General features: G+C 35.3%; 1 protein-coding gene and 1 pseudogene across 20 annotated transcripts in view; both read left to right on the forward strand.

The window, feature by feature from the left end:
- The window catches only part of GPHN (gephyrin), a 1,227,209-nt gene that overhangs the window by 248,549 nt on the left and 954,412 nt on the right, over positions 1-24,248 (forward strand). For all 20 annotated transcript variants that reach the window (XM_047430879.1, XM_011536340.4, XM_017020913.3 and 17 more), the window contains exon 3: positions 19,769-19,826. In XM_047430879.1, coding sequence (XP_047286835.1) covers positions 19,769-19,826 — 58 coding nt within the window. The remainder of the gene's footprint in view (positions 1-19,768; positions 19,827-24,248) is intronic.
- On the forward strand, positions 2,413-5,012 carry LOC107984694 (probable ribosome biogenesis protein RLP24; annotated as a pseudogene).

A 24,248-nucleotide genomic window follows, 5' to 3' on the forward strand; every position in this document is an offset into this window, starting at 1 on the left:
ATTAATTAAGAGATGGTTACAAAATTAAGATACATATAATTGTCATAAGATCCTCAAATAAATAAATGCTTTCAGTTATTTTACATGTGCTGAGAATAGTAGTCACCTTTGATAATGAGAATGAAGTATAATAAATCTAGGTTATGATGTTTATTTAAGTCTGAATCATGTAAAACAGAACAGGCATACTTCTAAACTAATTCTGTTAGACAGAAATAGAAATCCCTGACAATTAATGAAGTAGCACATAGTGGTCTTTGAATTACCTGAATTAGTTATTTTCTTACATATGCCACAGATACTTGAGTTCAGCTCATTAAATTTTCTATTATTTCATTAAAACCAATGCAGTTAGCGGTAATAGGGGAGTGAAAGGAGAAGGAAATTGTGTAGAGCAAGATACTTTATTTGAGAGTGGTTATGTATGAGGTGGAGGTGGGGAATCCAGGAAAACCATGGAGTTATGAAAAAATTAAAACTCATTGGTATATTTTATTTGAACTAAAGTTGATACAATCTCCAAGAACTAGAAGTATTTATTACATAAAATCATCTTTTTCAAAAGTATATGTAAACCTTAATTGCTGTCAGAAAAATATGCACAATAGTGTGTATACTTGCATTAAAAAGGGATATATATATATATACACGCACACACACACACACAAATATAAATGGGAGATATAAGTGCAATTGCATTTATTGATTGATTGAGACCAATTCTCACTCTGTCACCCAGGCTGGAGTGCTGTGGCACTATCTCAGCTCAGTGCAGCCTCCACCTCCTGGGTTCAAGCGATTCTCCTGCCTTAGCCTCCCGAGTAGCTGGGATAACAAGCGCGTACCACCCTGTCCAGCTAACTTTTGTATTTTTAGTAGAGACAGGGTTTCACCATGTTGGCCAGGCTGGTCTCAAACTCCTGGCCTCAAGTAATCTGCCCACCTCAGCCTCCCAAAGTGTTGGGATTACAGGCGTGAGCCACCACACCTGGCTGCAATTGCTTTTATATGCATAGAGGGACACATAAAAATCTGGTTGGCAGGGTAGGGAGGAAAACTTTTTACTGTATGCACTTCCCTAACATTATAGTTATTTTTACCATGTGAATGTGTTGTGGTCTTTCTGCTCCTTAATTCAGCTAGGTCCAAGTCTTTTTCTCACAACCAGGAAGAATTAGGCAGGCATGTGGACACTGTACAGTGAGTGGAATAGAATTTATTAAGTGAAAGGAAAAATTCTCAGCCAAGAGGGGATGTGGTGGGGAGGGGTGTTTCCCCCACCCAAAGGTGGGAAAATTCCCCGTGTAGCTGGTCCTGGGCCTTTTATGGACTTAGAATGGGGAGTATGTGCTGATTGGTTTGTGATTATGCAAAAAAGGTTAAAGTGAAGACACCACTCAAAGGTGGGCACGACAGTGTAGAAAACCAATTAGGAAAGGGTAGGTATATATAAAGTAGGTGAAGGTGGGGATCAGTCAGAGGAAAGGCTGCCACACAGGAAGACAAGTTATCGATCCAGTCCAAAGGTTAAACTTGTAGCTTGGCTTTCAGGCTTTAAACTGTCTTTGGCTTGAAAGTGGGATTTCACAGGGGACCCACCCCCTATCTGCCTAGGCATTTGGCTGCCTCCTATCACTCTAATTTTCCCCCTCTGAAAAGGTACCTCTAACTGCCATTAGAATAGGAATGAAGACGATCTTAACTGCTTTCTGCTGATAGAGGGCACTGTTTGGGGAAAATAGCAGTCAAATCTCCCTCAGAGGCTTGTCTAAGGATCCCCAGTAAAAGGGAGCCATCGTTTGAAGCTACAGTTGCGTGACCATTTTGAGTTTGATGGCCTGAAGGCGAGAAGAGAGAAACTGGGTTATTAGAAGACATGTATCAAAATGAAAAAAGGGGGTAAGGACAGCTTAGAAATCCTGAGGCTGCCACCATGCCAGGATAACTGGTGGCTGTAGTTGTACCTGCTAAGGTTTGGGTGCATGGGGCTTGGCTTTGGTTAGCTCCCTTGGCCTTATTTTCCCAAAGAAACCTCCGGGTTATGGGTACCCCATTTATTTCTATCACCTGGCAGGATTTGCAGGATAATTGCCCAGAACTAGAATATTGATCCAGAATTTTACTTTACCCATCCCTCTGTTTCTTGTGAGCTGCAGCCAGAGACCACTGTTTGGTTCACAGGGTTAGTCTAAAACGTAGGCAAAAACTTAAAAACAAATAATGAGATTAGAATTTAATGGCAAGTGTATGATAAGTTTTGAAACATAATTTTTCTCTCTCTAGTCCTCATTTTTGTCAAAAACAAATCATGATAGGACTGAGTTGTTTGCAAAATAAATTTTAATCTTATACTTGGCTTGAATATTTGCATAAAGTGCAGCAAGAATAATTATTTTTCACGTAGGCTTTTAAAATTGGCTTTGATGGAACTCTGTTCCACAAGGAATCTCAGATAAGACTTTCTTAAAGCCGAGCCCAGCCATGGGTTTCTACCCTCAAATGCCTGTGATTTGGGTAAATTCCACTCTTGAGGTCCCAAGATAACTTGGGGTTCCTGGGTCTATTAGAAAGTGACATTCTTTACTCACCACAGGTTAGGAACCCTGTATAGGGACTGTGTAGACAAGGTATGAGGCCAGTTTTCCCAAGGGGCTCTGCAAGTCAAACTTGACTCCTTAAAGGAAGGCATAACCTTCTACTCAAAGCCTTGGTAAAACAACCAGTTTCTCTAATTGTGTCCTGTTGCAAAAGAAAATGGATTCTTATTGCACTGATGCAAATAACAATATTACCATAAGTTAAACATACTTACTGTTGTTGGTTTAAAGTCTTTTTTATCTGAGGTAAGAATAGCAACCCCTGCTCTTTTTTGTTTTCCATTTGCATAGTATTTCTCCAGCTCTTTACTTTAAGCCTGTTGGTGTAACGTGAAATGGGTCTGTTGAAGATAGCAGAGGGATGAATCTGGTTTTATTATCCAACTTGCAACTCTGTTACTTTTAAGTGCAGCATTTAGACTGTTTACATTCAAGGTTAATATTGATATATGAGGCTGCTTTGATCATATGGTGAAGTTGTTAGCTGGTTGTTTTGTAGTTTCCATTGTGTGACTGCTTTATAGGGTCTGTGCACTGTATACATAAGTGAAATATGTAATATAACTAATTAAAATCAAATATTGAAAATTTAAATTAGAGAAACTTCTGAATTATAGTTTTTGTATATTTTTAGAATAGATTTATTATTTTACATGTATACAATTACTAAGATAATCACAGGCCTCTGTTTAAATTATTGCTTTCTCAGAGGTTAAATAGCACCACCCAATCTAAAGTTGTTTTCATGCATTATGTCACATCATCCTCTTTATAATGTTTTCTTTACAGCACTTACAATATTTGAAATTTTCTACTTATTCATTTACTACCCATTTCCCCCGGTAGAATGTAAGATCCATGAATACAATTACTATATGTGTTTTGTTAACTTTCTATCTAGCACATGAAATAATGCCTAGCACATAATAAGTTCTCAGTGAATATTCAGTGAAAGAACAAAAGTGTTTAGAAGTATTATTTTAATAAATAGATAAAATTTTAGTAGTGTATCAAGAGTCTTTATAATCTTTAGAGAGCCACAGTGTTTCTTGTGTAGTTTAAAAATTACTCTGTAATCTCATTTAATTATGTTTTGCACGCTTTGTATATTGTAAGAGGTTAATTTATATGAGGTCTGTCAAATTGTCATATAATCTATAAGTTTTTAATGAATGTTTATTGTATCCATATTATATGAAATAATTACAATGGGTTGGTGGGGGCCCACGCGGGTTCAACATGCATATCGAGAAGTGTTATTTCTGTTCAGGGCCCATCTACCCTGGCCACAGCATGATGTTCATCCACAATGATTGCAAGGTGTTCAGATTTTGTAAATCTAAATGTTATAAAAACGTTAAAAAGAAGCATAATCCTCGCAAAGTTAGGTGAACCAAAGCATTCCATAAAGCAGCTGGCAAAGCACTTATAGTGGATAATTCATTTGAATTTGAAAAACATAGAAATGAACCTATCAAATACAGAGAGAGCTATGGAATAAAAGTATTGATGCAATGAAGAGAGTTGAAGAGATCAAGCAGAAATGCCAAGCGAAATTTATAATGAACAGATTGAAGAAAAAGAGCGACAGAAAGTTCAGGATATCAAAGAAGTCAAGCAAAACATCCATCTTATCCGAGCCTCTTTTGCAGGCAAAGGGAAGCAGTTGGAAGAGAAAATGGTATAGCAGTTACCAGAGGATGTGGATATGGAAGATGCTTCTTAAAAATCTCTGTAACCATTTCTTTTATGTATATTTGAAGATGCCCTTTGGAGACTTGGAACTGCTAAATTATTAGTTTATTTTTTACATAGGTCACTTAAATGAAAAGTGATTAATATATCTTTCCTACATTTCCATCTACAAAACATCAGATATTACGGATATTAGATTGCATCTCAGTGCTAAATTTTCACTGATAGATATACTTAATGTAAATCATGAAAATTCTACTTATAACTATAGAAGTGAATTGTGGATGTAAAATGGTTATGCCATTTGGATAATGGCACTAGGCAGCATTTGTATAATAACTAGTGACAAAAATTCATGGCTAGTGATAAAATATTATTTACAGTAAAATATTCCCTTTATTAATATTATAGAAGGGGGGATACAACAAGAAACTAACAATTTGTATGACAGTGTCAAATATTATTTTGATTTTAGTACTTCCTGTTTTCGTTTATTTGCATCTTAGAAGAGCATAATGACATTGTTTGATGAAGCTTAATTATGCTGCACTGCTTTGACCTGGTTTAACCCTTCTGATAGGTAGTTGTGGATGTTGGGGATGAGAACTGAATAATCTTTGCCTGGAGTGACACTACACTCTAGAATTTCCACTTTGGAGAAATACTCAGTTCTTTTTTTTTTTTTTTTTTGAGATGGAGTCTCTTTCTGTGGCCCAGGCTGGAGTGTAGTGGCGTGATCTTGGCTCACTGCAAGCTCCGCCTCCTGGGTTCACGCCATTCTCCTGCCTTAGCCTCCCCAGTAGCTGGGACTACAGGCACCCACCACCACTCCCAGCTAATTTCTTTGTATTTTTAGTAGAGACTGGGTTTCACCGTGTTAGCCAGGATGGTCTTGATCTCCTGACCTCGTGATCCACCCGTCTCGGCCTTCCAGAGTACTGGGGAGAATACTCAGTTTTAACTTGCGATTCCTGGTAGAGCATACTTTATTTTTCTAGCCTAGCAATGATGTAGAAGCAGAGGAATCCCAGTGCCTTTTAAAAGTTATTATGTGGTTTTCTTTTAAAAAGCTCCTGTTTTTGGAAAGTAGAATTTATGGGTACGCCATCTGTTCATTATTTGCACATAAAATAAAACCTTTTGAAAGGTTAAAAAAAAAAAAGAATTACAATGGAATTTTACTAGTGTTCATTAAAAATATGACCACTAAATAAAACTGCAAATAAGAGAAATGGCATATTTCTAAATAAAGGCTTCTAATTAATATACTAATTACCAATGGTTCATGTCAGAATGTTAAAGCTCTTGAAAGATTTCCTAATTTGCTTCTTTGTAAACTACTTTCTCTTTAAGAATTATGTAAGGCATAATAATACAAACTGATTATATTCCACTGGCCAACCTATGTGAAAGTTCTTTAAAATGAGGAATATATTATGGTCGATATCTTTAATGATAATTACCTTTCCATGGTGTAAAATCTGAAGAACAATCTTGTCTTTATGACAGCATTTATATATGAAAATTTAATTCTAAGAAATATATGGATTTGCAGAGAAGTGTCACATAGTAAAAAAAAAAAAAAAAAAATCTGGGCTCTGGGATGACATTGTTCTAAGTAGCAGACTGTTTTCTGTTCATAACCTTGAGCAAGTTAACTTTTCTGAACCTCAGGTATAGTGCTGAAACAGTATATGTAAAAATGCCTAACACAATGCCTATTAGAAATGCTCAGTAGATTCTAATTCTCTTTTCTTCCCGAGTAAAGTGGAAGCAAAGACTCTTCTCAAAAGTATGGTGGCCACATTTACCAAAATAGTAGAAAAAAAGAATGGTGAGGTAAAAAGGTACCCATTTAACCTCACTAAGGATGACTGTATTTACCAGTGTTAAACAGGGGAGTTTCTAATCAAAGGCTTTTAGGAATCAATTTTGACCATATTTTAAAACAATAGCTACATTTATTTTCCAAAATTATTTTGGTCTTTAAGTCATAGATTATATGGTAATATAAATCAGAATGTCTTCTATCTTCAATTTTGGCTAAAGGCAAATAGTAATACCTAATACTTATTTACATGCATACTATATACTGTCAGCCGTCCACATCTGTGGGTTCCTCCACATCCATGGGCTCCACATCTGTGAATTCAAACAACTGCAGTTCAAAAATATTTAGAGAAAGACAATAAAAGTAATAAAAAATACCATATTACAACTATTTTTTTTTTAATCTTTTTTTTTTTTTCTTTTTTTATTATTATTATTATACTTTAAGTTTTAGGGTACATGTGCACATTGTGCAGGTTAGTTACATATGTATACATGTGCCATGCTGGTGCACTGCACCCACTAACGTGTCATCTAGCATTAGGTATATCTCCCAATGCTATCCCTCCCCCCTCCCCCGACCCCACCACAGTCCCCAGAGTGTGATATTCCCCTTCCTGTGTCCATGTGATCTCATTGTTCAATTCCCACCTATGAGTGAGAATAGGCGGTGTTTGGTTTTTTGTTCTTGCGATGGTTTACTGAGAATGATGGTTTCCAATTTCATCCATGTCCCTACAAAGGACATGAACTCATCATTTTTTATGGCTGCATAGTATTCCATGGTGTATATGTGCCACATTTTCTTAATCCAGTCTATCATTGTTGGACATTTTATATAATATTCATATTGTATTAGGTATCATGAGTAATCTAGAGATGATTTCAAGCAGGGTTCCCCAAACCCTGGGCCATTGAACAGTAGTGGTCCATGGCTGGTTGGGAACCAGGTCACACAGCAGGACGTGAGCGGCAGACGTGAGCAAAACTTCATCTGTATTTACAACCACTCCCATTACCGCCTGAGCTCCACCTTTTGTCAGATCAGTGGCAGCATTAGATTCTCATAGAAGCACAAACCCTATTGTGAACTGCACATGTGAGGGACCTACATTGTGTGCGCCTTATGAGAATCGAATGCCTGAAGATCTGCCACTGTCTCCCATCACCCCCAGATGGGACTGTCTAGCTGCAGCAAAACAAGCTCAGGGTTCCCACTGATTTTACATTGTGATGACATGTATAATTATTGCATTATATATTACAATGTAATAAGAATAGAAATAACGTGCACAATAAATGTAATGCATTTGAATCATCACAAAACCATGCCCCCAACCCCCCAATCCTTGGAAAAATTGTCTTCCATGAAACCAGTTCCTGGTGCCAAAAAGTTTGGGAACCACTGATTTAAAGTATATGATGGGAGGATGTTCGTGGGTCACACACAAATACTGTGTCTTTCTATATAAGGGACTTGAGCATTAGTGTATGTTGTTATCTGCAGGGGGAGGGAAGGTGTTCTGAAACCAGTCCCTCAAGGATACCCAGGGAGGACTGTACCAAGTACTGTTCTGTAAACTTGGCCTAGATTAACTCATATAGTTAATCCTATATGGTAGGTTTTTTTTTTTAATCATTTTACGGATCAGGAAACTGATGCAAGATGAATTAAGAAAACGTGCCTAAACTTACACAACAAATACGTGCCAGGTCAGGGCTGAGATTCTGATCTAGGTAAACTGACTCTAGATTTTATGCTTTTAATTTTCACACAGTATTCTGAGATAAATCCAGAGAAGTGGTACAAACTTGAAACAGGTCTAAAAAGTTAAGCACAGAATGGATTGAGACCTTTAAAAAGCTGAAGGAAAAATATAGAGAATAACTTCTGTAGCTATATATCATCAAGAAAAATCAGTAAATCTATTGTATAGAAATAATAGCACAAATTTAAAATATAAAGATAATATAATTACTTATTGTACATGATTAGTATTCTAAGTTTAAAATATAATAAAAATTAAAGAATTACTTGACTTTTTAAAAACTTTTTTCTTTTGCCCTCCTGTGAGGACAGTCATTATTATTTTAAAAAAGAAGATAATCATATTTAATAGTTAAGCATGTATGCACTTAGTTGCTTTAAATGATTTAAAAATACTATCAACCTGAACTACTATATATCCAGATAATAAAAAAATGAAAAATAACATGTGATGTCAGAACCACTGTTAATCTTTTAGAAATCTGTTGATTATCTTTGAGTAAAAAGAACAGAAGGGTGAACCTTGATTGACCACTTCCCATTCTTTCTGATGTGAGAGGGTATCTCAAGTCAAAAAAGAACAGGTACTGACAAGGTTGCACAGAAAAGGGAACACTTATTCACTGCTGATGGGAGTGTAAATTAATTTGCCCATTGTGAAAAGCAGTGTGGCAATATTTGAAAGAAAAAAACAGAATTACCATTTGACCCAGCAATTCCATTATTGGATACATAACCAAAGGAATATAAATTCTTCTGCCATAAACACACATGTATATGTAAGTTCATTGCAGTACTATTGACAATAACAAAGACATGGAATCATTTAAATGCCCATCAGTGGTAGACTGGATAAAGGAATGAGAGCATGTCTTTTGCAGCAGCCTTTGGAGCCAGAGGCTATTATGTTAAGTGAACTAATGCAGGAACAGAAAACCAAATGCCGTATGTTCTCACTTATAAGTGGAAAACATGGAGTACACATGGATTCAAAGACAGGAGCAACAGACAGTGGGGCCTACTTGAGGGTAGAGGGTGGGAGGAGGGAGTGGAACGAAAAACTACCTATTGGGTACTCTGCGTATTACCTGGGTGACAAAATAATCTGTACACCAAACTCCCATGACGCACAATTTACCTATATGACAAACCTGCACATGTACTACTGAAACAGAAAAAAAAAAGAATGACTGAATGTACACTATGATGGAAAAGCTGTATAATTTATTATCTACATATAGTCATCTATTTAGAATGAAATATATATCTGGATAATTAACTTCAGCTGATATGTACTAGTTCTTCATTTCAATCTTTCTTATTCAGGAATTGATTAAATAGAGACTCCAGTTCCACCTGTGGTGGAGTAGCTTCTATGAAAACTAGCTAGAATACATAAAACAATTGTTTGAAGGAATTGGAGAACAACCAGTTTAAGCAGGACTTGAGGGATAATGGTTCTTGGGAGAACAGAATAGAAGCACTGGAAATGAACTCCACATTTACCCTAACTTTTTCCCTGAGAGCATTTTTCAATTCCTAGTGTGGAAGACTGGAATCCAAGTGGAAAATGACAATCTTTCTGTCATTAGCCAACTTTAGCCAGCTCTTAAGATGCATATGTATATGTACAAGTTGAAATTCCAGGAAATTCATCAATAAACAGAATTTGAGTGTCTGAACAAGTTAGCAGAGATTTCAGGAGGTGCATGGGACTAAGAAGAAAGGCTGAATTTTAAGCCCTGCCAAGGCAGAAGGGCCTTGGTAAACTTAGTTGGAACCCTAGAAGGACTACACTTTAGGAGTGAAGGCAAAATACTGAAAAAAAGAGAAAAACTATAGTTTTAGATATTTACTAGTTACTCATTGCATTTAGATATATTGAATGAAACACTAGACTCACAAAAACAGTAAATGAACAGACAGTTCATTAGAAAATGCCACATTGAAATACACACAGAAAAATGAAAGGTAAAACCAAAGGAACCTAAGATACGTATGGCACATGGTAAAAATAACTGACATTTGTGCAATATTCCCAAAAGAAGGATGGATAGACAGAATGATATAGAAACAATATTTGAAAAAATACTGATTGAGAATTTTGTAAAATTGAAAGCATCAAAGCAAAAATTTAGGAAGCAAGATAAATTTTATATGCACATGTGTTTGTATATGTATATATACACATACATACATATGTGCAAACACACACAAAGCCAGGTATACTGTAGTCAAGCTGCTGCAAAACAAAGAAAAAATTTCATTAATCTTGCCTCTGCTTCCAGTCTTTTTAGAACAGTGATTTTACCAACTATAGTTTTCTTTCCTAAGTCCATTATTTCCCCCCATTTTTAAAAAAACTTAGCGTCCCTGTTGATGGCTTTCAATATAGTTAGCTTCTCAACTTCCTTGGTCCTAATCCTCTCCTCAAATTCCACCTTTGTCTTTATAAGTAGAGTTACTTCATATAAGCTTTTAATTTTTCAAACTATGTGTTGAAAAAGAAAAGTAATATGAAAGAAAAGATTTATTTAAAATATTTCAAGATGCCTATTACGCATTTCTACTCATTATATTCACTCTCTGTAGTAAGTATATAAGACTAAAGACTTGAATCTATAATTCCCTTAGTTAGTCCCCTCAGACTTCTAATGGGAAGAGGCTCCCTAGGACTTCTAAGGAAGGACAATGGGCTGTCCTTCCCCTGAATTTCTTTAATTTTTACATTGCTAGTCACTAGCCCTGTATATCTTTCCCTGGTACTTTTTCAGTTTCTAATCCAGGCTGCCAAGGAGTACTAGAGAGATTATCATCCTTTCTATTTGTTCTATTGCAGACTCGCTTTTTGAACAGAAAAAAAAAAAAAAAAAGAAAAGAGGGAAAATGAAGAGTGAAAATAGTGAATAATTCTGGGATTGAGCCTAGAGAAGTAGAAAGTGTTTTATCAGTAACTTCTGTCTTCTTAGTAAGACAGAGGGCAAATTTATCTGATATGGGTATGTGTTATAAGCTTAGGGGGAAAATGGAAATTTGGAATTGCTATCAGAATACATAGAGTAATTGCTTTCAGAATAAACGGAATAGTTGCTACTCATGCCAGTAGATGTGTGAGCCAGCTACAAAGATAATCAGAAGAGTTGTCAAGTATCAGTCATGTCCAAGCCACAGTTAAATAGCATACATTTATAATAAATTATATCACTGATTCCCAGCAACATACAACAATGTTTGTATGTAGTAAGTGTTCAAAGGATTATTAAATAATTGCAGTTATCAATAGTGTATCTGAGATGACTAAACAGACTAAAGAAGAGAATACTTGCACATATCAGGAAAAGATCTAATAGTCATAATGAATAGTGTTTTACGAATTGCCAACAAAAGTTCAAAACAATATAAATAATAGTACACAAATGAAAATTATTCATAAATATATGGATCTATTTGAAGAATTTGGAGATAACTCAGAGGAAAACCTCTAAAATATACAAAGATTTAGAAAATCAAATTTATGAGGAAGATTAAAGTTAACTGGGAATTTTTAAGTTACTAAAGATAAAACTGAGTAATGATCTAACCAACTAGTATACAGAGTTGGTATATATGGAGAGGAGTATGGCCATCTGTTTGGTATATACATGCAAGACAGAGCAAAATAACATCAATATAAATTGCAAAATGAGGGAGTTTTAAAATTATTTATCCTAATGGAAAAAAAGTATATGGCATGAGAAATTAGAATAGATTACCAGATGATTATAGAGAAGATAATCTCTCTTTTAAGTTATTGAAAACTAAAATTGATTTTTAAAAATTCTATTTCATACCTGCTTTATTCTAAACACTAGGCCAAGTTTTGGAACACAGAAATGAATAGCTGACACTATTCCTGACTTTTCAATATTCTGCAGGAAAAGAGCTATATGAGCAGTGACTTTGAAAGCAGGACTTTTTATGATGATAAAAGGATCAATCCATTAGGCATACATGACAATTATAAACATACATGTACCCAAAAACAGAGTTTCAAAATACATTAAGCAAAAACTGGCAGAATTAAAGGGACAGACAGACAATTAAACAATAATAGTTGGGGGCTTTAGTACCCCACTTTCAATAATGGATAGAACAACTTTGCAGAAGAGGAAGACATTATAGTCCAGAGTTATACAGTAAAACCATAGAAATAGGTACTCAGTAAAGGTAGAATATAGGAGTTTATTTCTAAGCATTCATGGGGTGAAGGATGCATTAAGGGAATAGAAGATGAATGTTTGAAACAACTCAAGATAATTGACTAGTCGTCTAGATTTTAAAAGATACGTATACTATATATATAATATACATATATACTTGTCTGCTAGGATCATTAGAGAAGAACATTTTAGACAGTGTGTAGAAAAATGTGGATATGTGTAAAAATTTGTATCTTTGGGCAGCTATTTGTGACTTTGAATTGTTGAAACTTTAATAAGTATACTGAAGTGGAATAAGGGACGATTGTAATACTGGGACATGAGGCTGAAGAGGTATGATTCTGTCTCAAGACAGTGAAGCATATAGATAATGCTAGAGTACCTACAATAATTACCAATCATCTATGAAATATACCAAATTTTAATTCTAATCTTTCACTTCTTAAAGTGTATGTTAGTCAGGATCTTATCTGATATAGTTTTAAAAAGTATTTTTAAATATTTGAGCCTATGTAGAGTTTTTAAAAATTATGTTACCTTTTTTAACTTTTATTTTATGTTCAAGGGTACATGTTCAGATTTGTTATACAGGTAAACTCATGTCATAGGGGTTTGTTGTACAGATTATTTTGTCACCCAGGTATTAAGCCTAGTACCCATTAATTATTTTTCTTGATCCTCTCCCTCCTCCCGTCTTCCACCCTCCAATAGACCCCGGTGTGTGTTGTTCCCTTCTATGTGTTCATGTGTTCTCATCATTTAGCTCCTGCTTATAAATTAGAACATGTGGTATTTGGCTTTCTGTTCTTGCATTAGTTCACTTAAGATAATGGCCTCCAGCTCCATCCAAGTCCCTGCAAAGGACATTATCTTGTTCTTTTTTGTGGCTGCATAGTATTTCATGGTGTATATGTATATGTACATTTTCTTTATTCAGTCTACCATTGATGGGCATTTAGGTTGATTCTGTGTCTTTGCTATTGTGGATAGTGTTGTGATGAACATATACGTTGCATGTGTCTTTATGATATAACGATTTATATTTCTTTGGGTATATACCCAGTAGTGGGATTGCTGGATCAAATGAGAGTTCTGTTTCAGCTCTTTGAGGAATTGCCACGGTGCTTTCCGCAATGCTTGAATTAATTTATACTCCCACCAACAGTGTATACATGTTCCTTTTTCTCTGCAACCTCACCAGCATCTGTTATTTTTGGACTTTTTAATAATAGCCATTCTAATTGGTGTGAGATGGTATCTCATTATGGTTTTGATTTGCATCTCTCTAATGATCAGTGATGTTGAGCTTTTTCTCATGATTGTTGGCTGTATGTATGTCTTCTTTTGAAAAGCATCTATTTATATCCTTTGCCCACTTTTTAATAGAGTTGTTCATTTTCTTCTTGTACATTTGTTGAAGTTCCTTATAGATGCTGGCTATTAGACCTTTGTCAGATGCATAGCTTGCAAAAATTTTCTCCTATTCTGTAGGTTGCCTGTTTAATCTGTTGATAGTTTATTTTGCTCTGCAGAAGTTTTTTAGTTTAATTAGATCCCATTTGTCAATTTTTGCTTTTGTTGCAATTCCTTTTGGCATCTTTGTCACTAACTCTGCTCATTCCTGCATCCAGAATGGTATTGCCTAGGTTGTCTGGACCAGAGTTTCTATAGTTTTGGATTTTACTATAATGGTACCTTTAATATTAATGAAACCTATAAACCATGAAAGTTACTGTAGAAAATTGTAACAAGAATCTATTTCAACCCTTCTATTGTGCAATATGTTATATACACATATCACAGCTTTTTACCTTTAGTAGTAACTAAAATGTGCATGTTTATTGATTCTGCATTTGCCACACTATGTTCCATGAAACACTGATATTCCAAAAATATTAATACCGTAGTAGTCCCCCCATCCACAGTTTCACTTTCTGTCGTTTCAGTTATGTGCAGTCAAGTGCCATCCAAAAATATTAATATTGAGAGAAAGTTATTATAAAAATAATAACTTATAGTATATTGTTATCATTGTTTTATTTTATTATTGTTCTTAATCTATTACTGTTAATAATTAAGTAAAGTTTATCATAGGTGTGTGTGTGTAGGAAAAAACAGTATGTAGAGAGTTTAGTACATTTTCAGTTTCAGGCATCCAGTATAGATCTTGGAACATATCCCGTATAGATAAGAAAGGACTGCTGGAAAGATTCAAATGGGATGAATAAAAGGATTCTCAGGCCTCTCAGTTCTTTCACCATCTTTCACCCAATGATGTCCTTCATCCTTCCTAAGCCACTGGCTCCAATGGTCACACCCTAGCTCCTTTCATTACTAATAACTATCACTCCTCTATAACTTTCATTTCAGTTATCACTCTCTTCAGTTGTCACTTCTTTCTATTTAACTCCCTCTAGTAATTGAACTGTGATAAATCTTTGATCACCGTGGACCTCCAATTCTTTTTGATTGGCTCCTTACCTCTTTCATTTCCCTCCTTACCTAGCTTACATTATGTAATCAATCGAATACTCTATTAAATATACCTTTAATTTTCATGTCCTTCTCGTCATATTGTCTTTTCTTGGGTGAATAGTAGCCACCCAGAGATAACAGATAACCCTGAATTAACAAGACATTCTTGAAGAAGTTAACCTGCGAGAACTCGCTCGACCAGTTACCGCACTGGCACAAGGGCAGGTAAATTGCCCAGTAGAATAGAATATAGCCAGAAAGAGATCAAGGCATATGTGGATGCTGGACTTACGGCCAAGGTGGCATTGCAAAATTGCAATTTTTTTTTATCATATATTAAGTTTTAGGGTACATGTGCACATTGTGCAGGTTAGTTACATATGTATACATGTGCCATGCTCGTGTGCTGCACCCACTAACTCGTCATCTAGCATTAGGTATATCTCCCAATGCTATCCCTCCCCCCTCCCCCCACCCCACAACAGTCCCCAGAGTGTGATGTTCCCCTTCCTGTGTCCATGTGATCTCATTGTTCAATTCGCACCTATGAGTGAGAATATGCGGTGTTTGGTTTTTTGATTGGGTGTCTTCAAACAGAAACACACATAACTCAAGTTTATATATCTATCTATTGATGAAAATGTTGTGACCACAGGCTTGCAGCAATCTAAACTTTTATTTCTCCTAGGAGCAGTGGTTCAGTATTAGCTCTTTCAGAGTGTGTGGCAATTTTATAGAAATAACTATTACAACTACTGAGAATTGACTATTTGATATTTTGTAAACTATTGTAAACGTTATCTTTTGAAAATTCCACTTTTGTGAAACAAAAAAATAAACCTTTGTCCTTTAGGAAAAAAAAAAAAAAGACAGATAACCCTGTGTTGACCCTTGACTCCTCTTTTGTCCAAATTCTCAATGTGTATGTAATCCATCATTAATTCCTGTTAATTCTAACCTCTAGAATATATCTTGAAATTATTTACTTTCTCCATCTCCACTGCTACCATTCTGGGAGAAGCCACAGTTAACCATAGGTGGGCCACAGTCCCATCTGATTACTTAGATAGCAGGCCCTGCTTTTAATCTTTGACCTCGTGGTAGGCAGAATTTTGGACTCATGACTTTCACCTGCTTTTGTTACTCCTGTGAATAAGTTAGGTTATATAGCAAAAGTGACATTGCAGATGACCTTAAAATAGGGAGGTTATCCCGCATTATTTGGTTGAGCCCAATATAATCACATGAGCCTTAAAAGCAGAGAGAAGGGCAAAAGAGGAAGTCAGAGAGATTGGAAACATCATTTCTTCTTGTCAGATTATTTCAAAGATGTATTCGAATAATGAATAATGGCCAAATTCACAGGTACACGTTTAGCACTATTTCTTCCTGAATAGAGTATTCCCCATCCTAATGACCAATTTCATATTCTTCTTTAAAATAATGAAATTTATCACCTCAGCCCTGTTATTTCTGATATATGTTTTTAAAAATCAAAGAATTTTTAGAAGAATCAGATATAGTGTGAAAATGAAAATAAATTTTTAAACAAAAAGCAATAACGTATACTTTCAAATAAATTTGGTCTTTAAAACCGTCCCCTTGGTATGTGTACAATTATACAGATACCGTTTGCCCCAATGTTGAAGTTTATCCTAGATATGATTTAATATATGAGCACTTTAGAAAAATTAATGCCTTGCCCTTGAAATCACAGGACTTTTTTTTCCCCCTTCTTCCTTTACTTCCTTCATTGCTGTTTAATCCAGACCATTTCCTTCCTCTACCATTTGGCTCAGTAGCCTAGGTTTTCTGGTCTCCCCAGAGAAGACTGCCGCTGTGCAGACTGAGTGGCATGTAAAGAGCAGAGCTACTCCTACTTTGGGAAGTGCAATCGGGCAGACTTGTCCCATGAAGTGTATGTCAGGAAAAAGATGGCAGGTAATAAGTTCTTTTGCGTGCTTTTCACAGGCTGAAGGCTGATAACATGGGGATAGTTGAGTACCAGAAATATTAGACACAAGAAAATAAATCACTGCCAATAATAGACTTGCTTTCTAACAAATCTTAGGAATTTTTGATTTGGGGAAATCTTTTTTTTTTTTTTTTTTTGAGACGGAGCCTCGCTCTATTGCTCAGGCTGGGTTTCAATGGCGCAATCTCAGCTCACTGCAACCTCTGTCTCCCGGGTTCAAGCTATTCTTCTGCCTCAGCCTCCTGAGTAGCTGGGATTACGGGTGCTCGCCACCACGCCCAGCTAATTTTTGTATTTTTAGTAGAGACGGGGTTTCACCATGTTGGTCAGGCTGGTCTTGAACTCCTGACCTCGTGATCCTCCCATCTCGGCCTCCCAAAGTGCTGGGATTACAGGCATGAGCCACCGCACCAGATGATTTGGGGAAATCTTTAATAATATCTTTCCTAGGTCGTGACTCTCTTTTGCTTTAGAACTTACACATCACTGATGTAAGAGTTCTTTTTTTTGTTTGTTTTAAAGAAGTGGACTCTCACTGTGTTGCATAGGCTGGTCTCAAACTCCTGGCCTCAAGAAATCCTCTCACCTTGGATTCCAGAAGTGCTGGGATTATTGGCGTGAGCCAGTGAACCTAGCCCTGAAGTCAGTTCTAAATATTGTCAAACATAGAGTATTTTACTATCATTGGGCCCTAGATAATCTTTATATTTTGTCATCTTGACTGCTGACATAAGGTAATTGAGCATCATATCTAGAAAGTTTTTTTTTTTTTTTTTTTTTTTTTTTTGAGATGGAGTCTCGCCCTGTCGCCCAGGTTGGAGTGCAGTGGCTCAATCTCGGCTCACTGCAACTCCGCCTCCCGGGTTCATGCCATTCTCCTGCCTCAGCCTCCCGAGTAGCTGGGACTGCAGGCGCCCACCACCACACCCGGCTACTTTTTTGTATTTTTAGTAGAGATAGGGTTTCACCATGTTAGCCAGGATGGTCTCGATCTCCTGACCTCGTGATCCGCCCGCCTCGGGCTCCCAAAGTGCTGGGATTACAGGCATGAGCCACCGCGCCCGGCCATATCTACAAGGTTTTAATGTAGATATCATTCAGACTAATTTCTGTAATCTTGTCATTGTTATTTCCTCAAAGTGCTGTACCACAAATAAGAAAATAATTTGAATGCAATTAGAAAAAAAAATTTACTTTTATCCCAAAGCATTAGTAAGACATGGTTAGCAATAATGCATATATTTTACCTTACTTATTAAACTTGTCGTGCTTCTCAACGCATTTCTTCCTGAGGTTGGACATTTTTATAATATAATTTAGCATTTTTAAACCTATGTATATTTTTTCTCTCAAAAAGTCTTGTATTCCACTTATATTGTTTAATGACCTGTTCAGTCAGTGTGTGATTCTCAGTTGGGAACTTTCAAAGTAATTGAACATAATTTTTCTCTAACCCAACTTTTATTTCTATCTGATTTTATATATGATTTCCATAATTATATTATTGTTCAAATAGAGCAAATCAAAGGTCCCTCCTTTGTACCATTAACATGTATCCACTTTTCAACTATTTTTTCTCTGTTAAAACATTTTAAAAATATAGCTACATTTGGAAATGATATAAAAGTATACTTTATTTAAAATACTGTAGGAAAATTTCAAACATTGTTGTCTTGTGTAAAATTGTAACTCCAGGTCTGCTCAGATACTACACCTTTGCTTTAAAACATGCCTTTTCTCTGAATGCCACTGAAATTGTGAGATTAAAACCTATACGTTCTTTTTTTTTTCTTTCCAACTTTTATTTTAGTTCAGGGTGTACATTTGCAGGTTTGTTACATGGGTAAATTGCATGTCCCGAGGGTTTGGTGTACAGATTATTTTGTCACCCAAGTAATAAGCATAGTTTTTGGATCATTTGGTTGGGTATCTTTTTTTTTAATGGAAACCAGAATGGTATTTATTATTTTACATTTGGGAGAGGAGATATCCTAAAGGGTCCAGAATACATAAGTCTCTTACGTATGATACTCCTTTTTTTGTTACTGAGGTATACTTATAAGTGCAGATAAGTAATCAGAAGGTTCCTTGGTAAGCGCTGAATTAGAACAAAGGCAGTTAGGTAATTTGGAGTTTAATAGCCTAGAGTACCTGATAGAGATGTGCTGGGGGCCACAACCCTGTATGTAATTTTAAAGTTTCTAAGTAGCCACATTTTAAAAAGTAAAAACAGATGAAATTAACTTTAATAATATATTTAACCCAATATATCAAAATGTTATTTTAACATGTAGTCAATATATTAAAATTATTCTGTTTTTCATACTAAGTATTCAAAATCTGGTGTGTATTTTACACTTTTGTACATCTCAACTCATTCATTTCCTAGTTCCTTCAGTTGCTTAAGAAAAATTACTGAATGTTTCTGTCTCAATTTTCCCATTTTTATAATAGAGATAATTGCAAGGATTAAATTAGATAATATATGATACACAGTTGGCACATGATCTTATATAAAGCTTAGTTGCTTTCTAAAAAATATTTCAAACAGTTGAATATGACGTATAATGGCATCACTGTCTCAAGGCAAAGAACATTTTAAGGATTAAATTATCTGTAACTCCCGAATTCTCATCTCTTCCCCTTGGACAGTGCTGGGCACACACGTCTCTCTGACTCCCTATTCAAATTACGTAAAAAAAGAAGCAGAATCAATGTTCGTTCACCAGTTGTAGCACATGTGTCACACTAATGCAAGATGTTAATAACAAGGGAAACAAGGTCATGGGGAAGGAAGGGCAGAAATATGTGAATGCTCTAATTTCTGCTCTATTTTTCTGTAAACCTAAAGCTACTATAAAAAGTAAAAAGCTATGATTTCTTTCTTAAAAAAGTCAAACATGTTTGCTGTCAGTTCCTGATGCATGTTAGCTGTGACAGAATACGGCAGTAAAAGTGACAGTTTCAGCATTATTAAAATCATCAATAAGAGGAGCTTAGTTATGGGTAAAAAATCTAACAATATTTTCTCTGTCAATAGTCATTCATTATCTACCTCTTTTAAACTAATACATGGAAAATATATGCACAAAATGGTTGTTTTTCCTCCATGGTTGTTGGGGTGAATACTGGGAGTTATTGGTAGCATTCTGATGGTAATGGCAGAAATCTTTCATACATTTTAAACACTATTGCTGGTTTTGAGAATATTTTCTTCTCCTAATTTCAGGTTGGGTGGGACTATATCAGCATACAAGATAGTACCAGATGAAATAGAAGAAATCAAGGTATAGTATGGCATTTTTCACCTCTACAAACATTTAGCATCTTGGTGAGGGGTGGGGAAGAGTTGCTTTTTCTTTATGCCATTGATATTTGGCTATGTTAGAATATTATTTAATTCTCAGTTATCATAGTGAATTAAAAATTTATATGTATCAGATAATCACCATCAGATTTATCTGCCATTTGCAATGAATTTCTGACTACAATATTAGGAGAATCGAAAAGGAACCCTTTCCTGTGTAGTTCATTAAAAATCTACATAAGAAAACACTGTGTATAAGCATTGGTGTGCATAGTGGATTATCTTTTTATCTTGTTGCAATTTCTTTTCCCTATAAGCCTTCACCACTTTTAAATATCAGTCTTTTTTTTAAATTATTATTATACTTTAAGTTTTAGGGTACATGTGCACAATGTGCAGGTTAGTTACATATGTATACATGTGACATGCTGGTGCATTGCACCCACTAACTCGTCATCTAGCTTAGGTATATCTCCCAATGCTATCCCGAGCTGGTTTTTTGAAAGGATCAACAAAATTGATAGACCGCTAGCAAGACTAATAAAAAAAAAAAAAGAGAGAAGAATCAAATAGACGCAATAAAAAATGATAAAGGGGATATCACCACCGATCCCGCAGAAATACAAACTACCATCAGAGAATACTACAAACACCTCTACGCAAATAAACTAGAAAATCTAGAAGAAATGGATAAATTCCTCGACAAATACACTCTCCCAAGACTAAACCAGGAAGAAGTTGAATCTCTGAATAGACCAATAACAGGAGCTGAAATTCTGGCAATAATCAGTAGCCTACCAACCAAAAAGAGTCCAGGACCAGATGGATTCACAGCTGAATTCTACCTGAGGTACAAGGAGGAACTGGTACCATTCCTTCTGAAACTATCCCAATCAATAGAAAGAGAGGGAATCCTCCCTAACTCATTTTATGAGGCCAGCATCATCCTGATACCAAAGCCGGGCAGAGACACAACCAAAAAAGAGAATTTTAGACCAATATCCTTGATGAACATTGATGCAAAAATCCTCAATAAAATACTGGCAAACCGAATCCAGCAGCACATCAAAAAGCTTATCCACCACGATCAAGTGGGCTTCATCCCTGGGATGCAAGGCTGGTTCAATTTACGCAAATCAATAAATGTAATCCAGCATATAAACAGAGCCAAAGACAAAAACCACATGATTATCTCAATACATGAAGAAAAGGCCTTTGACAAAATTCAACAACCCTTCATGCTAAAAACTCTCAATAAATTAGGTATTGATGGGACGTATCTCAAAATAATAAGAGCTATCTATGACAAACCAACAGCCAATATCATACTGAATGGACAAAAACTGGAAGCATTCCCTTTGAAAACTGGCACAAGACAGGGATGCCCTCTCTCACCACTCCTATTCAACATAGTGTTGGAAGTTCTGGCCAGGGCAATCAGGCAGGAGAAGGAAATAAAGGGTATTCATTTAGGAAAAGAGGAAGTCACATTGTCCCTGTTTGCAGACGACATGATTGTATATCTAGAAAACCCCATCGTCTCAGCCCAAAATCTCCTTAAGCTGATAAGCAACTTCAGCAAAGTCTCAGGATACAAAATCAATGTACAAAAATCACAAGCATTCTTATACACCAATAACAGACAAACAGAGAGCCAAATCATGAGTGAACTCCCATTCACAATTGCTTCAAGGAGAATAAAATACCTAGGAATCCAACTTACAAGGGACATGAAGGACCTCTTCAAGGAGAACTACAAACCACTGCTCAGTGAAATAGTAACAGTCTTTTAGTACATATTTTTCTGGGTTCCTTTGAAAACACGATATGCCAATTGCAATTAAAAATTTACATTACAGTAATGAAAAATTGACTTACTCTTTAAAAATTAGAGCATTATGACATTATTCTGTCTCTAACATTTTACTAAGTCTTATGGAATATTAATTTTCTAACATAATATGTTGTTCTTTTTCAAAAGCAAGATTGAATAATTGGATATTAATAATGAAGAATAAACAATACTGGTTAAATTGTTAACAATGACATGTAAAGATCTCAACAAATCACTAAGCTTGATTTGATTAAACTTTTCAATATCAAGTTCACTAAATTCAAATCTTTCAATAAATTCAAATTCAATTCAAAATAATTATTTAATTCTATGACTCAAGACTCAAGGGGCTTTTTTTTTTTTTTTTTTTTTTTTTTTTGAGACAGTCTCGCTCTGTCACCCAGGCTGCAGTGCAGTGGCATGATCTCAGCTCACTGCAGCCTCCAACCTCCTGGGTTCAAGTGATTTTCCTGCCTCAGCCTCCCGAGTAGCTTGGATTATAGGCACATGACACCACACCCAGCTAATTTTTTTTTTAATTTTATTTTAGTAGAGATAAATTTTCTTCAAGTTGGCCAGGCTGGTCTTGAACCCCTGACCTCAGGTGATCCATCTGCCTCGGCCTCCCAAAGTGCTGGGATTAAGGCATGAGCCACTGCGCCCAGCCTCAAGGGACATTTTTGAAAAGAAAAAAATCTTGTAATTTGTTTGCATTATTTTTAAATCAAGTAAGCCCATTGATCTATTATATGATACACTATTAGCTTCAGTATGTCAAGTGTTCTAATGTATGGTCAACATCAGAAATTAATGTGGTAATTCTAGCTTCAAAAAAAATTTCAAGAAATTTATTCCAACTTTGTGTGAACTTGTAAAATATTTTAGCTAGGAGGAACTTTAGGTCTAATCCAGATCTCTCATTTTTCATATGAGGAAATTGAATAAATATTTTATTTGACATTCAATAATGACTTCTAAAAATATCATCAAATGTTGTTAAAGGGTTGGAAAAGCATGAGGATATTACTTCTTGAAATATATTTTATAATGACTCAAAAATTGAACTCTAGAAACTTTAAGCAATTAATAAATATATATAAATAAGCAACATTTATGTAAAGAATATTGAATTGAAATTATGTATTATAAAGGCACCCTGTCTGATAATACAATTAAAATGTGTGTTAACTGATGAAGATAAACCAAGAGTTTTATGGAAATACATAGAAGGGACACCTGGACATTGGAAAAAGTAAATCAGCAAAGTCTTTCCAAGAGGTAACCCCCAGGAAATTGGAGTTTTATACAGAAGCATAGACATGAAATAATAGGATACCAGATTATAGGGTATAAAATAAAGACTGGTAAGATAAAGGGCTGGAAGCAGGCCTTTATCCCATGTTAAGAAGTTTGGTTTTTATCCTGAAAATTATGGGATTCCTTTATGTGATTTTTAAGGAAGAAAGTAACATAATCATTTTGATACTTTTTTAAAGCCTTACTGTGGTGAATGAGAAAAGTGATTTCAGCAGAGAAGAGGTTCTACCTAGATGGAAGGAGACCAGGTTGCAGGAATGTAGGCACAAAATGATTAGAACCTGAACTCAAGCAGTGACAATGAGGCTAGAGAAGAAAACAAGATTTGAAAAATATTATTTCAGAAAGTAAAATCAGCAATACTTGATAACTTATTGGATGTTTAGGGGAAATTGGAAAGATTGACTCAGATTTCTGGCTTGGGAAATTGAGTAGATGGTGTTGCTGTTAACTTAAAAAGGATGTTTTGGAGACAGAATATTATTAATAGGAAAGAGGATGTTTTGGACTTACTGAGTTTGAGGTCCCTCTCAGATTACCAAATATCCAATAAGTCATTGAATAAATCAGCCTGGAACTCAGAAGAGAGACACAATCTAGTAATTGATATTAAGGTTTGTCCTCATACAAAAGAGTTAATTGAGGCCATGCTAGTCAGTGAATGGAATCTCACGGAAAAGTTATATGAGGTATTAAAATTGGGCTGAAGATGTAACCTTAAGGAAGACTTACCCTAAAGGCAGAGTATTAATATATTATTTAATTAGTTTAATTAATAGCAGGACTTTTGCCTGTTTTTAAATAGTGATTTTTTTCCTAAAGGAATCAGCTTTTTTTTTTTCATTGTGTGTGCTTTTTTTATTTTAGAGTTACAAGAGTTATCCCTCAGGAGATTCCTTTTAAAAAAAGCAGGATTCATGGATGATATGTAACATAATTTTTCCGTCGATTACTGGTATTATATCTAAAATAACTTGAGAGTTTGAGGCCTGAGGCATTAAAAAAATGAGGAATTCATCTTGCTTTCAAAGTACTCAAAGAAAAACTGTTCTAAAACATTTCACCAATATTTGATGGCACATTAGCATTTTCAGCTGAAATCAGTTACAATCGTTTTTGTTTTAGCTGAAAGAAATGTGAAGCATACGGATGTAATGTTCATTTCAGTTGGGTAATATCTGAGTAATCTTAAATTGTCTAAACAGAACAATTGAGTTTGAATTTGATATGCTACCTATAGTATATACCATG

This window comes from Homo sapiens, chromosome 14 (genome assembly GCF_000001405.40).
Source record: "Homo sapiens chromosome 14, GRCh38.p14 Primary Assembly".
Taxonomy (NCBI): domain Eukaryota; kingdom Metazoa; phylum Chordata; class Mammalia; order Primates; family Hominidae; genus Homo; species Homo sapiens.